The sequence below is a fragment of the Homo sapiens genome, chromosome 1, assembly GCF_000001405.40.
Source record: "Homo sapiens chromosome 1, GRCh38.p14 Primary Assembly".
NCBI lineage: Eukaryota > Metazoa > Chordata > Mammalia > Primates > Hominidae > Homo > Homo sapiens.
Window position 1 is genome coordinate 120,637,780 of NC_000001.11, and position 13,809 is coordinate 120,651,588.

General features: G+C 39.9%; 1 pseudogene across 2 annotated transcripts in view; it reads right to left on the reverse strand.

Annotated features, from left to right (window-relative positions):
- PDE4DIPP2 (PDE4DIP pseudogene 2) overlaps positions 1-13,809 on the reverse strand; it is a 195,809-nt pseudogene that overhangs the window by 168,152 nt on the left and 13,848 nt on the right. The window contains exons 2-4 of one of the 2 annotated variants that reach the window (NR_144516.1): positions 9,094-9,149; positions 5,894-5,985; positions 3,829-3,980 (exon numbers count right to left, since the gene is read on the reverse strand). The product of NR_144516.1 is annotated as a PDE4DIP pseudogene 2, transcript variant 1 (transcript). The remainder of the gene's footprint in view (positions 1-3,828; positions 3,981-5,893; positions 5,986-9,093; positions 9,150-13,809) is intronic. The other variant, NR_144517.1, reaches the window with a different exon arrangement.

Genomic DNA, 13,809 nt, shown 5'->3' on the forward strand with positions numbered 1-13,809 from the left:
ATTTTTAATGATCGTCATTCTAACTGGTGAACATGCCTTTTCACAAGGTTGTTGTAAATGAGATCATGCTGTCACATACTTAGAGCAATATCTGCCACATAGAAAGTGATCATCAAATGCTAGCCAGTATTATGTATGTGCTGCTGAAGTCTTGCTCATTCCAGAGATGCTGCAGCTGGGTGCTGTGATCAGTGAGAAAGCATAGGGCAAGGGATTTTTCTCAACACATCATTGTGACCATTTGTAGGTAAAATTTATTTCTGATCCAATAATGTGTTCAGATTTATGATCATGGTACATAAACTTATGGCCCTGAAAAAGTCACAATTTCTGTGAGTCCTGGTTCCCTCACTTAAAAAATGGGGAGAGTGATGCTTGTTCCGTGTCTTATAAAGACAAAATAAAACAACTTATGAGATACACTTAACCCACTGCTCAATACACTAAACCCACTGCTCAATACACTAAACCCACAGAGAATCCCTTCATCAGTGGATTCTCTGAGTGGGGAAAAGCGCCTACATAACGAAGTTGGTAAGGTTGGGAAATTAATTAAATCACTCACTCATTCAAAAATACAAATGAAGCATATATGCTAAGCAATGCCCTCCTTTCATCATGGAGTGTAATACCTATTGACCTCAACCTGACAAACATACAATTGGAGTTTGTATACACATACAACCATGCTGTTGGTTGTGGGTGGAGAATGAAAGAAAAGAAACACTGTTGTATGTTGGAAATGTTGCTTTCTTTGTCCCTTTTTTCTACACCAACATAAAGATAATTGTCATTTTCGCTTGTTAATTGACTAATTATGTTTTGGTTCCATAATGTGCCAGTATTTGCATTTTTAGTCTGTTATCTCTTTCCCTGTAATCAAAGGGCCTTTTTTTCTCTAGAATTTCCTACATCAGCAAACATTTTAGAGGTAACTGCATTACTGAACAATTATAATTACTTTTGACAGATTGAGTACTTTTAATATTACTTCTCTCCTGTTCTAACTCTCTTTTTCTTACCTCTCTATAGTCCAGTCTCTTATTTGAACATATCTCTCTTTCTTCCCCCAAATCTCCCCTCTGTCTGGAATATTATACTCTACTTCTCTGACTAGTAAAATCTAACTCAGCTTTGGAGACCCTGCTCAACGTGAAGCCCCCAGGAGAAATGTCCTCTGGTAAGAGGCCTTTCCCTACTCCTTTAATAAAAGTAGACATTTTCTCTCAAGATCTCAGAGTGTACTGTCCTTATCTCTATGAAAGCACTTGCCATGCTATATTGTATTTAATGCAATGTCTGTACTTCCAAATAGACTATAACTATCTAAGGGCAGGAACTAAAGTATCTCATTTAATGTGATCATGTGTTTGTTGCATGGATAAATGAAATAAGAAGGGATTCCTGGCTGCTTCTTCCAGGCCTGTATCCCTTTGTCTTTAAGCCCTGGAGGAGTCGACCCTACATTGGCAAAAAACATTTAGCATGTCCCTTCCTCTCTCTGAGTACTGCTACCTATCCTATATCCCAAGGCTATCGAATGCATATTTTAAACTTTACAGAAAATACCATGTTATTTAGTATTTTACCATTTTTAGGGTAGGGCATAGTAATGTGTTCCTATCTCTCCTATATTTTTTCTAACCAATGTTTTCTCTAATTTTTAAACCCTTTCACGGAGGCGTTTTGTATTTTAGGTGCTGTCATTCAGAGTCCACAGGATGGATGAATGGATATGAAAATGAACAAACGTGTGACACAACACTGCATGATTTACCGGCAATGACTTTCTGATCAAGCCTGAAGTGGGTTGTAGCCTCTTTATTTACTTTTTATTTGACACATAGCAGAGAGAGATTTAAACTATCTCTTATTGGCCTTTTCCCTGCGTCTTAGCTTGGTTTCTGTCAGTGTTTCCCAGCATCGAGAAATAAGGACTAATCTGTCATATTAGATCTAAACTCTAAAAGAAAAGGACTTTGGGCCTTATATCTGCCACCCATTCTTTCAATGGAGGTGACACCCCTCATTTCTATATTTCCAGTCATCTCTCAATGAAAAGGAACATGCAGACTGGCTCGCCTTTGGAGAGCACCCCACACAGTTTTGAGGAGCTCTGCAGCTCTGCTTGCCCTTTCTGCATCACAGCAGATCCAAAAGGTGAAAAAAAAAAAAACAAAAAAAGGAGGGGGTTGGGGTGTTAGCATCCTTGCTTCCCCCACCAGCACCACACAGCTGTTTGGAGGTTTAGTCTTCAAAAGCCTCTTGATTACCATGCAAACTCTCCATGTCTTAAAAAAAAATACACACAGTATACATGAGAATGCTAAGCATAAAATTTGAAGAATAGGCTGTTAATTCTTAGGCACATGTTATATGGTGCATATCCTTTGCCCACAGAAATATCTGGTAAGATGTACAGAAAGTATTGGTGAAATATTTCTACTTACAAATTGAGGGAAGATGGGGTAAACCCATGTCAACACAAAATTTTTTGAGATTAGAATTTTACTTTTTTTTTTCTGTCAAAAGTTATCAATTCCAATTCCAGAATGAGAGAAACCCCAGTATCTCACAGACTATTTACACATTATTTATGTGGGACCTGCTTGCTGGGTATCCCTGAGGGGGCACCAAAGAGCTATTTCTTTCTTCCTTTTTTTTTTTTTTTTTAGAGCACAAGCGTGTAAGAAATTCTGGCTGCCTGTTTCTGGGCTATTTAAATCCCAGTAGACATGCTCTCTTGTACAGACTTCCTGGGCTCAACCCAGCTCACAGGGAGCTGGGGAATCTGTATTACATTATCAGTTATTGTTTTTGGTCAAATCTAAGGACAAACATATGAAGAAGCAGAGCATGCAGCACTGGTTCAGGAGGTTCAAGCAACATTATCAGATTCTTGTTGAGAAACAAATGGTTGTTACTGTGCCACCGCACACTGCAGACAATTCCTAGATATCGAGAGAGGTCCAAGCTAGCAACAGAGAATTTAATACTAGCTGCTGGACCGGGACTCCTGGGCTCACTATGTTGCAGCTACAGATTCTCAGAATGCCATTTAAACTTCCTGAGTTTATCTGAGAAGTAAACCAAGGGTGTAGGTGATGAGGCAGCATTTACTGGTACAGTTAGTCCCCCCTTATCCACAGTTTTGCTTTCCATGGTGTCAGTTACCCACAGTCAACCACAGTCTGAAAATGTTAAATAGAAAATTCTAGAAATGAACAACTCATAAATTTTAAATTGCACATTGTTCTGAGCAGCATGATGAAATCTCGTGCCATCCACTCTATCTCACCCTTGAATCATCCCTTTGTCCAGCACATCCAGGCTGTATATATCGCCCACCAGTTAGTCACTCAGTACTGTCTGGGTTATCAGATTGTTGCAGTATCACAGCGCTTGTGTTCAAGTAACTCCTATTTTACTTAACAATGTAAAAGTGCAAGAGTAGTAATGCTGGTATATTGTTATAATTGTTCTATGTTATTATTAACTACTGTTAGCCTCATTAACATTTAATTTATAAATTAAACTTTATCCTAAGTATGTATGTATAGAAAAAGACATAGTAAATATAGGGTTCAGTACTATGCAGTTTGAGGCATCCAAAGGAGGGACTGCTGTACAGGCAAGGGTCCATAACCACACCCCCCAGCACACAGCTGACAGAGCATATGTTTATTGGGACATGCTCTTGAAAGAGACACCATAATGATAATACCATCCATAATCCGGACCAATCCATGGGTCATATTTTTATCAGGCATCACTATTCCATAGTACTGCTTCTAATTGGGATAACAATTATCCACTCACATGACTTACCTTCTCAAAGTCTCGAAGAGCCTGGGTCTGTACCTGAGGGGGTTTCTCAAATGCTCTCAAGGAATATGTCTGCACAAACGGGACCTTTTCACCACTTCTCCAGATCTGTGACTGCACTGGAGGGCCTCGATCTTTAGTGTCACTAAGAAAAGCTGTCAATGAAACAGAACAACAAAAAAAAAAGGTTTATATAATAACAGCACTAGGATCATTCTAACTGGCACATTCCAGCAGAATTCAGTTTCTGCAAAATACAAACTCAATCTAGGCCACATAGAAACAGTTTACTTAAAGTAGTCTGTGGTAGATCATATTAATAGCCATCCCCAGTGAATCAAACTAGTTTGGGTCCATAGGCCTTTGCAATGTGATACTCCTGCCATTAAGAAGTAGAGCCTATTTCCCCAACTCTTGAATCTGGGTTGGCAAAGTGGCTTGCCTTGACTGGCAGAATATGATATAAATGCTACTGTATGAGTTCCAGAGACTAGCTTTGAGAGGCCTTGCATTTCTGCTCTTGCCTTATTAGCATCCCAAGACAACCATGCTGTGAAGAAGTCGGTCTACCCCACTGGAGAAGGAAAGGCTGTTCAGGGAAGTGAAGATGCCCCAGCTGACAGTCACCACCTGCCAGACATGTGAGCAAGGCTGTCTGAGACCTTCAGTCTCAGTCAAGTCATCAGAAAGTTGCAGCCAGTTGAGTGATCCCAAGTGAGACCAGCAGCGATAATGCCCAGTTTGCCAAAACAGAATTGTGAGAAATAATAAATCATTGTTGTTTTAAGCCAGGTGTGGGCAGACATTTTCTTAAAGGACCAGACAGTGTTTTAGGCTTGTGGGTCATATCATCTCTGGCACAGGTACTCAACTCTACCCTGTAACACAGAGGAGACACAGACCATGTGTAAATGAATGAGTGTCACTGTGTGGCTATAAATCTTTACTTATAAAAACTGACTGTTGGCTCATGGGCTGTAGTTTGCTGCTGACCCCTGTTTTAAGTCACTAAGTTTTGGGATGGTTTGTCACATAACAAAAGGTAACCAAAACAGTCTAAAGGAAAGAACCAAGCTGCTAGCAAACTATCTCTACCGATAATTTTTCAGGTTACTATTTAGTAATAGTAACAATTATAACAGCCAACATATTTAAAGGGCATTACATGTTACAAAATAGTTTCACATGAATTATTTCATTTATGAAGTCGCTGCAATCAGTGAAATAGACATAAGTGATTATTAAGTCCATTTTACTGATGAATAAGTAAAGATTCAGAAAGTTTGCTTGACCAAGATCACATTGCTAAAAAGTGGCAGAACCAATGCCATATTTTCTCCATCTGTCTTTCTTAGCAGTATGCTACTACTGTGTTATTTTAGCAATTAAAGGGATTGCAATAGGTCTGAGAGTGGGGAAAACAGGTAAAGAGGCAGAGACTCAATCACTCCATTAACCAATGGAAGCATTGCTTTGGGAGAACCTAGTGGAATCTAAGCTGTAATTAACCCTATGCTTGCTTTTGAGAAGTAACATTGTTAAAGAATGAGAAATCAACCCTGCCTCATGTTGGGGCAGGGTTGGAGTTACAGACAGGTAGAAAACATAGAAAGCTACATACTTTCTTGGCTGACAGAAGGAAATAATGAACTTTTATTATGGAACTATTTTTTAAATAAGAAGACAGTCATGGCAAAGCATTAAGCGCTACAGACAGTGTCAGGGCAAGTAAGAGCAAAACAGGTACTGGGTGACTGCCTGGCTGAGGAAAAGTTAACTAAACACTTGGGGAAAGGAGATCCAAGGGAGTAAGAGGCAAAATGCCTTTGCATGCTTTTCTTCCGATCTCTTTTTCTTTCTCTCCTTCTCACTCTCTCCCTTCCTTCCTTTCTTCCTTTCTCTTTCTTTTTTTTTCTCTTTTCCCCCACCTCTCTGCCTGCCTCCTTCCTTCCCTCCCCTCCCCTCCCTTCCCCCTCCCTCCCTCCCTCCCTTCCTTCCTTCCTTCCTTCCTCCCCTCCCTCCTCTCTCCCTCCTTCCCTGCCTTCTTTCCTTCGTTCTGCCAACTTGCCAGAAGGAGCCCAAGAAAAAGCACCCAGATGCTTCAGTCAACTTCTTAGAATTCTTCTTTTTTTTATGTTCAGAAAAGATGGAAATTCATTTCTGCTAAAGAGAAAGAAAAAATTTGAAGACAGGGTGAAGGTGAACAGGCCCATTATAAGAAAGAAACAAAAATCTATATTCTGTCTACAAGGAAACGAGAGAGAGAAAGAGAGAGAAGAAAGAAGTTCCAGGATTCTAATGTACCAAAGGGATCTCCTTTTTCTTGTTTTGTTCTGAAAATTTCACCAAAAGAGCACAGGAGAACATCTTGGCTAATTCATTGGCGATGATGTAAGAAAACTGAGAGAAATGAAAGAAATGAAGAATTACTGTTGCAGATAATATACAGCCTTGAGGAAAGAAAGGCTTTTAAGATTATAGATATAAAGGCTATTGCTGTATTCTGGGATAAAAGAAAGTCTGATGCAGGGAAAGGGGAAGTTGGAAAAACTGGAAAAAGAAAAAAGAAGAAAAGAAAAAAAGGACTGGAAAGACATTGGTGAATAGAAAGATGAAAAGGGTGAAGAAAAAAATGATGATAGTCAATAGGGTGGTTTTAAAAGAGGCTTTTGTTTTATTAATTTGTTTTTGTGTGAGTGTGTGTGTATGTGTTTGTTTTTTGCCTAAAAGTATTTAACTCCCCATTACACCACTGATTTCAAAGAAAAAAAGCTGAAATGTAAGATCATATGATTTGTTTTTAAACTGAACACTGTATACTGTCTTTTTATTTTTGCAAAATTAATGTAGTATCCAGTGTGTCTTTAGATAACCCTGTCCTTAATGATATTTTCAATAGCCACTAACCTTGCCTGGTACTGTTTCGGGGTTTAAACTAGAACAGAAATCTAAGGCAGGCTTTATTAGTGCATAGTACAAATCAATTACATATATATGGAGATATTATTTTTCCCTCTTCAATTGTTTTTCATGCAGCTTACCCAATATAATTGTTCTGTTAGTTGTACACTACTCTGTGATAGCAAATAATAATAATAAAATAATTATGATGATATTGCCCCTGTTTTGGTGATATTCTGAATGTTTATACGTAAATGCAAAATTTTTAATTAAAAGTAATTAGAGGCTGGGCATGGTGGCTCACACCTGTAATCCCAGTTTTTTGGGTGGTTGAGGCAGGTGGATCACTTGAGGTCAGGAGCTCAAGACCAGCCTGGCCAACATGGCGAAACCCCATCTCTACCAAAACTACAAAAATTAGCCAGGCGTGGTGGCAAGCGCATGTAATCCCAGCTACTCGGGAGGCTGAGGCAGGAGAATTGCTTGAACCTGGGAGGCGGAGGCTGCAGTGAGCCGAGACGGCACCACTGCACTCCAGCCTGGGTGACAGAGCAAGACTCTGTCTCAAAAATAAATAAATAAATAAATGTAATTAGAAAAAATGATTTCTTCCACATTTAGGTGAAATTAAATATACTACTAAGGGGAAGATAATCTGATAAAACAGAATAACAATACATTACAGTTAGATTGGTGGATATGATAGAAAGAGCAATGCCTTGAGGCTTGGATTTGAATCCTGACCACTTGCTAATTGTGGGAATTTAGGCAAATCTCTTAATTTTGCTGATATATTGCCTCTGTAAAACAGGGGTAATAATATCTGCTTTATAGAACTGTTCTATGGATTAAATAAAATAATAAAAGCACCTTGCCACATGTATTATATGTAGTAAGCATTTTATCCATTCCCCTCACATTTTTGCCCTAGTCCTTCAATTTTTGCCTCAAAATGTAGAATATTGACATTTAAAATGTTGAGCACAGTAACCCTTGGAATTTGTGGATTTAACACACATTTCAAATACTAATTTTAAGTGACTCTGAAATTCTTAACTTATTCAAATTAAAAACTTTTTTCCAAATTGTGCATATAAACAATCTGTGCTTCCAGGCTGTTATGAAAAAGGCAAAGAACTTAGCAAGGAAGTAAAACCCTCAGGTCGAGAACAAGTTTTGTGGAAAATAGACCCCCAAAGAATATTATCTTCCCTTTGGTTTTGCAATTCAGGTAGATCTCTGGCTAATGTTAGTGCAGTAATAATTGTGCTGTTGTTAGGAATACATTAATAGTAACAATAGATAAGATACAGAGTGCTTATTCCTTGATAGCCTCTGTACTAAAAGCTTTTCTCAATCTCACCTATGAGATTAACATTATTATTGTACCCATTTTATTTATTTATTATTTTATTATTATTTTATTTTTTTTGAGACTGAGTCTGCTCTATCACCCAGGCTGGAGTACAGTGCCACGATCTCAGCTCACTGCAACCCCTGCCTTCCGGGTTCAAGAGATTCTCCTGCCTCAGCCTCCTGTGTAGCTGGGATTACAGGCGTGGGCCACCATGCCTAGCTAATTTTTGTATTTTTGGTAGAGATGGGGTTTCACCATGTTGGCTAGCCTGGTCTTGAACTCCTGACCTCAGGTGATACGCCCGCCTCAGCCTCCTAAAGTGCTGGGATTACAGGCGTGAGACACCATGCCCGGCCTATTATACCCATTTTAATGGTGTATTAAGATAAAGATTTCATTTTAGTAACATAATTTATTTTAATCATTGTACAAGTGAGTTTAGCCTTGCAATTACAGAATCGTTAAAAGTATGAAGAATTCACATAAGTATCTGTAATGATTTACTGTACTATGCTGCTTCTCAGTACATAGAATTATAGCTAGCTGATAATTCTCGTGTGAAATTGCTACAGTAGTATGTGCTAATTTGGAAATTCACAAAAGTTTGAAGATATTGCCATGATGAATTTAAAGAGGCCATAATTCAAGAGAATTAAGATCAATAGAAAACCAAGAATTGGCCAAGTGCCAATTTCTCTCACACACTTTGGAAAGCTGGAGTGGGTGTATTGCTTCAGGTCAGACATTCAAAACCAGCCTGAGCAATATAGCAAGACTCCCACCTCTAAAAAAAAATATTAAAAATTAGGCATATGTCTATAGTCCCAGCTACTCGGGAGGCTGAGGTGAAAGGATAGCTTGACCCCAGGAGTTTGAGGTTGCAGTGAGCTATGATCACACCACTGCACTACATCCATAGTGAGAGAGTGAGACCCTGTCTCAAAAGAAAACCAAATGAATAAACAAAAGAAACAAAGAATTTAACAAAGCAAGGCCCACAGCATCCTTACCTGCTGTGTGACTCGTTCTGGGTACCATCTCCCCATCATCCTCTGCAAAATAATCTCTGTGGAGGCAAACACATCATTAATTAATGAGATACTACCCCACAAGGCTCCCATCCCAGGGATCGAGGAGAAGACACCTACCTATTTGTCATTTCTATTTATCTCTCTGCAAGTATTTACTAAGCTTCTATTATGTATCAGGGACCGTGTCAAGTGCTAGGGATACAAAGGCAAACACCACAGAAGAGTTCCTATTCTCAATAAGTACATGAGAGCCAGCCATTAAATAATTTCACAAGAATTAACTACTATTGTAGTAAATGTTGTGAAGGAAAATGCAGAGGGAACTTAACTAGCACAGGGACTCAGAGAAACTCAGGGAAAGGAACATTTAAACGTAGATGGGAGGATGTCAACCAGGTGTAGAATGGGAGAATGGGAGTGGAAGAGTGTTCCATCATGAGAGAACAGCAAAGGCCCTGAGTCAGAAAGGACTCTGGCCTGTTAGAGGAACAAAGAAAGCCAATGTTGCAACCAGGCCACGCAGGACCTTGTGGTATGGGGTAAGGCCACTGAGTCTAATGTGAAAAGCTATGGGAAATCAATGAAGGATTTTAAATTAAGGAAAGAATGGTAATGATCAGATTTATATTTTAGATAGGTCATTCCAGCTGCATTCTGGCTCTACACAGTGAGACTGTGGAGGGGCAAAAATGGATGGTGAGAATCTATATTCCAAATAGGAAGTTGTGATGGTTTAACAAAGGGGAAATTTTAAAAATTTGAGATATGTTTAGAAAGTAGAATTGACACAGAAACCTTGAAAAACAGACAAAGTTTATGAGTGGAAATGTTAATAACACCATGATTCAGTAGCAAGAGGTGTATCTGTTCAGCATAGTAAATACCACCATCCCTAGCAGAGAGGGGACAGTATCTCAAAATGTATTCAACAAATACTTCTCAAGCCCATGCTTGACAAGTGCTTTTAGGCACTGTTGTAAGCTCCACAAATGTAGCAGTGAGCAAAACAGACAAAAATCCCTGCACTCATGGAATTTTTACAGTAAGGGGAGACAAATAAATAAATTGTATAGTAGCAGTTGGGAACAAGTGCTATAAAAAAAGTAAAGTGGGGAATGTGGATAGGGAGAGCTGGAGGTAGGAGGAGGTAGAGGGGATTGCAATTTTCAGTAGACAAGGCTGCTCTATGAAGCCATAAGGACAGGCATGGGGGTCTCTAGGGAAAGAGTCTTCTAAGCAGAGAACATAAAATGCAAAGGTCCATAAGAGGGAGCATACTAGTTAGTGGCTGGGTGCAGTGAGCACGTGGTGAGCAGTAGGAGGTGAGGTCAGGGAAGTAATGGGAAGACTGGGCAGGGGGCGCAGACTGTTTGAAGCCTTTCAAGACATGGAGAGGCATTTAGCCACTAGAGTCTTGTGAATCAAAAAGAAAGACGGACTCAGTGACTAATATTTTAAAGGGGGACTGTCTACTGTCTTGACAACTGACTGTCTGATGGGGATGTCAGAAACAGATGATTTCAATAAACCTACAGAAAGATGCTTTCAATAGGTAGCTTATTCTTTAAACTCTTGGGGGCTCCCAAGAATTCTGTAAACAGAGATGTAGAGGACTTCTCTCTTTCTCTCTTTTTTTTTTTTTTTTTTTTGAGACAGAGTTTTGCTTTTGTTGCCCAGGCTGGAGTGCATGGCACGATCTCGGCTCACCACAACCTCCGCCTCCCAGGTTCAAGCGATTCTCCTGCCCCAGCCTCCCCAGTAGCTGGGATTACAGGTGCCTGCCACCATGCCCAGCTAATTTTGTATTTTTAGTAGAGGCGGGGTTTCTCCGTGTTGGTCAGGCTGGTCTCGAACTCCTGACCTCAGGTGATCCGCCCGCCTCGGCCTCCCAAAGTGCAGAGGTTACAGGCATGAGCCACTGTGCCAAGCCTACAGGACTTCTCTTTTTAAAAGCCAGAAGATATTCACAGGGAGGCAGAGGAGGACCTGGCATTTGCTTGGAAATTGGTGGTTTTTTCTTCCCTGCCTCAGGGCTGGATCTTGGCAGAAATCTTCACTTTGTTAAGTCCCAGATGGACATGAAAATACCAGACAGGGCACATCGGGCTACACATGCCACCTGACAATTATTTCGTATCCAAAAGTAGATCACCAGCTTGTGATTCTTCCAGGCCCCCTGCCTCTTTCCCTTCTCCTCCTTAAAAGCTTTCCCTGAGAGTAAACAATGCCAAAGAGGAATGTACTACGTATGCACTCCCCTCTGTGGAGGTAAAATAGGAGAAGGATGTCAAAACCATCAACCAGAACAATGTCTTAAAAAAATCTGTGGGGAAAAAATTTATACTTAGCTGCTGCTATTCACTGAGCATTTCTGCCTAGTCCACAGACAAAGGTGGCTGCATCTGCTGTCAGGAGCAAGGTCAACCCTCGGGCCAAATTCAGCCCATCCGACATGTTTTATTTAGCCCACACAAGTTTGACCCACTTCTAACTGCTCTTGGGAAATGAGTGGGTCTGCCAACACTGGGCCTGCCTTCCCACACAGCGGGAGAACTTGCCCCCTTTACACAGGACAGGGATGTGTTTTCCAGTTTGCCACAGTCCCTGCCACTCCCTGTCCTTGTCGTCCCTCATTCACTTAATTATGATACTTGCCTGGCATCTTGCAGGTTTCTGATGCTGTTACCCCAGTATAGACCAAGTGCAGACAGAATTTCATTTCTGCTTTATTAAGACACAGTCTTGAGAAACCCATTGGCTTCACACACAATTAATTAATTTGTGGCAACAAGCTACTATATTGGCTTGCATGTCACTTTCACCTCTCTGGGCATTAGTTTTCTCTAATATTTATAAAAGAAGGACATGACTTTCTAAGGTTCCTTGCAGTAATTATGCAACTCTATTCTAATAGATGCTTAAACATAAAACCCATTTTAATACTGTCCAAGGATCCAGGATACCTTCCAGACATGATCTCACTCAATCTTCTCTGCTCTGCAGATTGCACATTATAGGTCAAGAGCAAGCTACAACACAGCAATACATATCAGCCCTACCAGACACCTCACCCTTCCCGCATCACCCACACCCACTCTGAGCACACTGCCTGCCTGATATGAATCAATAACTGGAAGGATAGAGAGGTCACTTTAGATGGGTACTGAGTTAATAAGCATACTCGCAGTGTCTCAGGAGATTTTTAAGAAATCACTTTAGCTCTATTAACAGCTCAAGTTCCCTCTCTTATTGCCAGAGAAAGGGGCTCACTCAGCTGCTCCACAAGTTACAAAGGAATCTGACGCTCCCCAAGGGAAGGGGCTCAGAGTGGAGAAACACAGAGTATAAGTCTAAGGGGTTGCAATTTGTGACAACATTTGATAAACCAAAGTGCAAGGAGAATTGGGGTATGGTAGAGACAGACTCCAAGCATGGACACACACACACACACACACACACACACACACACACACACACACACACAAAGTGGTAATATATGTTGGTACATTCTTTCGTATTACCCAAGTTCAGAAAAAAATTTTATATCCTTGTCCTAGTTTCTCAAATTCAAGTGTCTCTAGCTTTTTAAAATATCAATCCATGAATGACTCATGCTCAGCTAATATGTGGTTCGCCAGGCCACTTTTAGCTCTCCTGCATTTCCATATATAATCTTTCTCCCATGATGCTTTCACTTAAAATTTTGCTTTTTCTGTATAAATGAATTATATTTTTCCTCAGTGTCTTACCTTGTCTTTCTCCCTACGTCATCAATCTGCTAATGACAATACCAATTCCACTAAAACCACATATATTAATATTCTCACCAGGACATTATTTTGCTTTTGGAAGTACCAAGCATTTTCCAAGTACAACCTACTCACAAGCTGTTCACCTGCTTGATTTCTGCATGGTATATCACTCATATTTTCTTGAGTTGCTGATAAGTAGCTATTAAGATATTAGACTCAAATAATACATCAACATTCAATATCCCATATTACTTGGTTTTTCTATGGCTTTCCAGGGTGATTAAGTTGAGAATGATCAGGAAATAATTGCTTCTCTGAAGGCCATCTGCCACCCCCTGATATTCTGACATTCTCAAACTGTCCTGTGATGATTTCTTCCAGTAATTTTCTAAGAATGGTAGTTTCATTTATGGCCAGGGTTATCCAAAACACTCAGTTTTGCTTTACTTGAAACTGGCCACTGATATAGCTCCTTTCAAGATTCAAGCATCTCATTGGTCCCACTAGTCTAGTTTCTCATAACATTGTGGGGAGGGGTAGACACTTGGGTTTCTTCTTGCTTAGGAGCCTGCAGAGAGAGATATTTTCTATAAGGCAGGTATAGACCTTCCTCCGTAAACTGTTATTTCTGGTATTATTTTCTTGTATTTTAGTCTGTCTAATTTGTGGACTGAGAGGAACAACAGATCATATGAATGAATCATCTCATTCAAAAGCAATGACAAGATGGTAATCATCATTACAAAGCAGGTTCTATGAGTCTTTGAACAGTATGAGATATTTGTATTGTAGGACCAAAATCACCACTAAAACTATTTCTAAGGTACTGATGCCTGTCTAGGCTCCATACTTTCTTCTCTCCAGTCTCACCTACTAAAATAATTAACCTAAGGTTATTTATTCCCATATGAGTGTCTAAACTCCCAAAGGAATGGTAATTTTC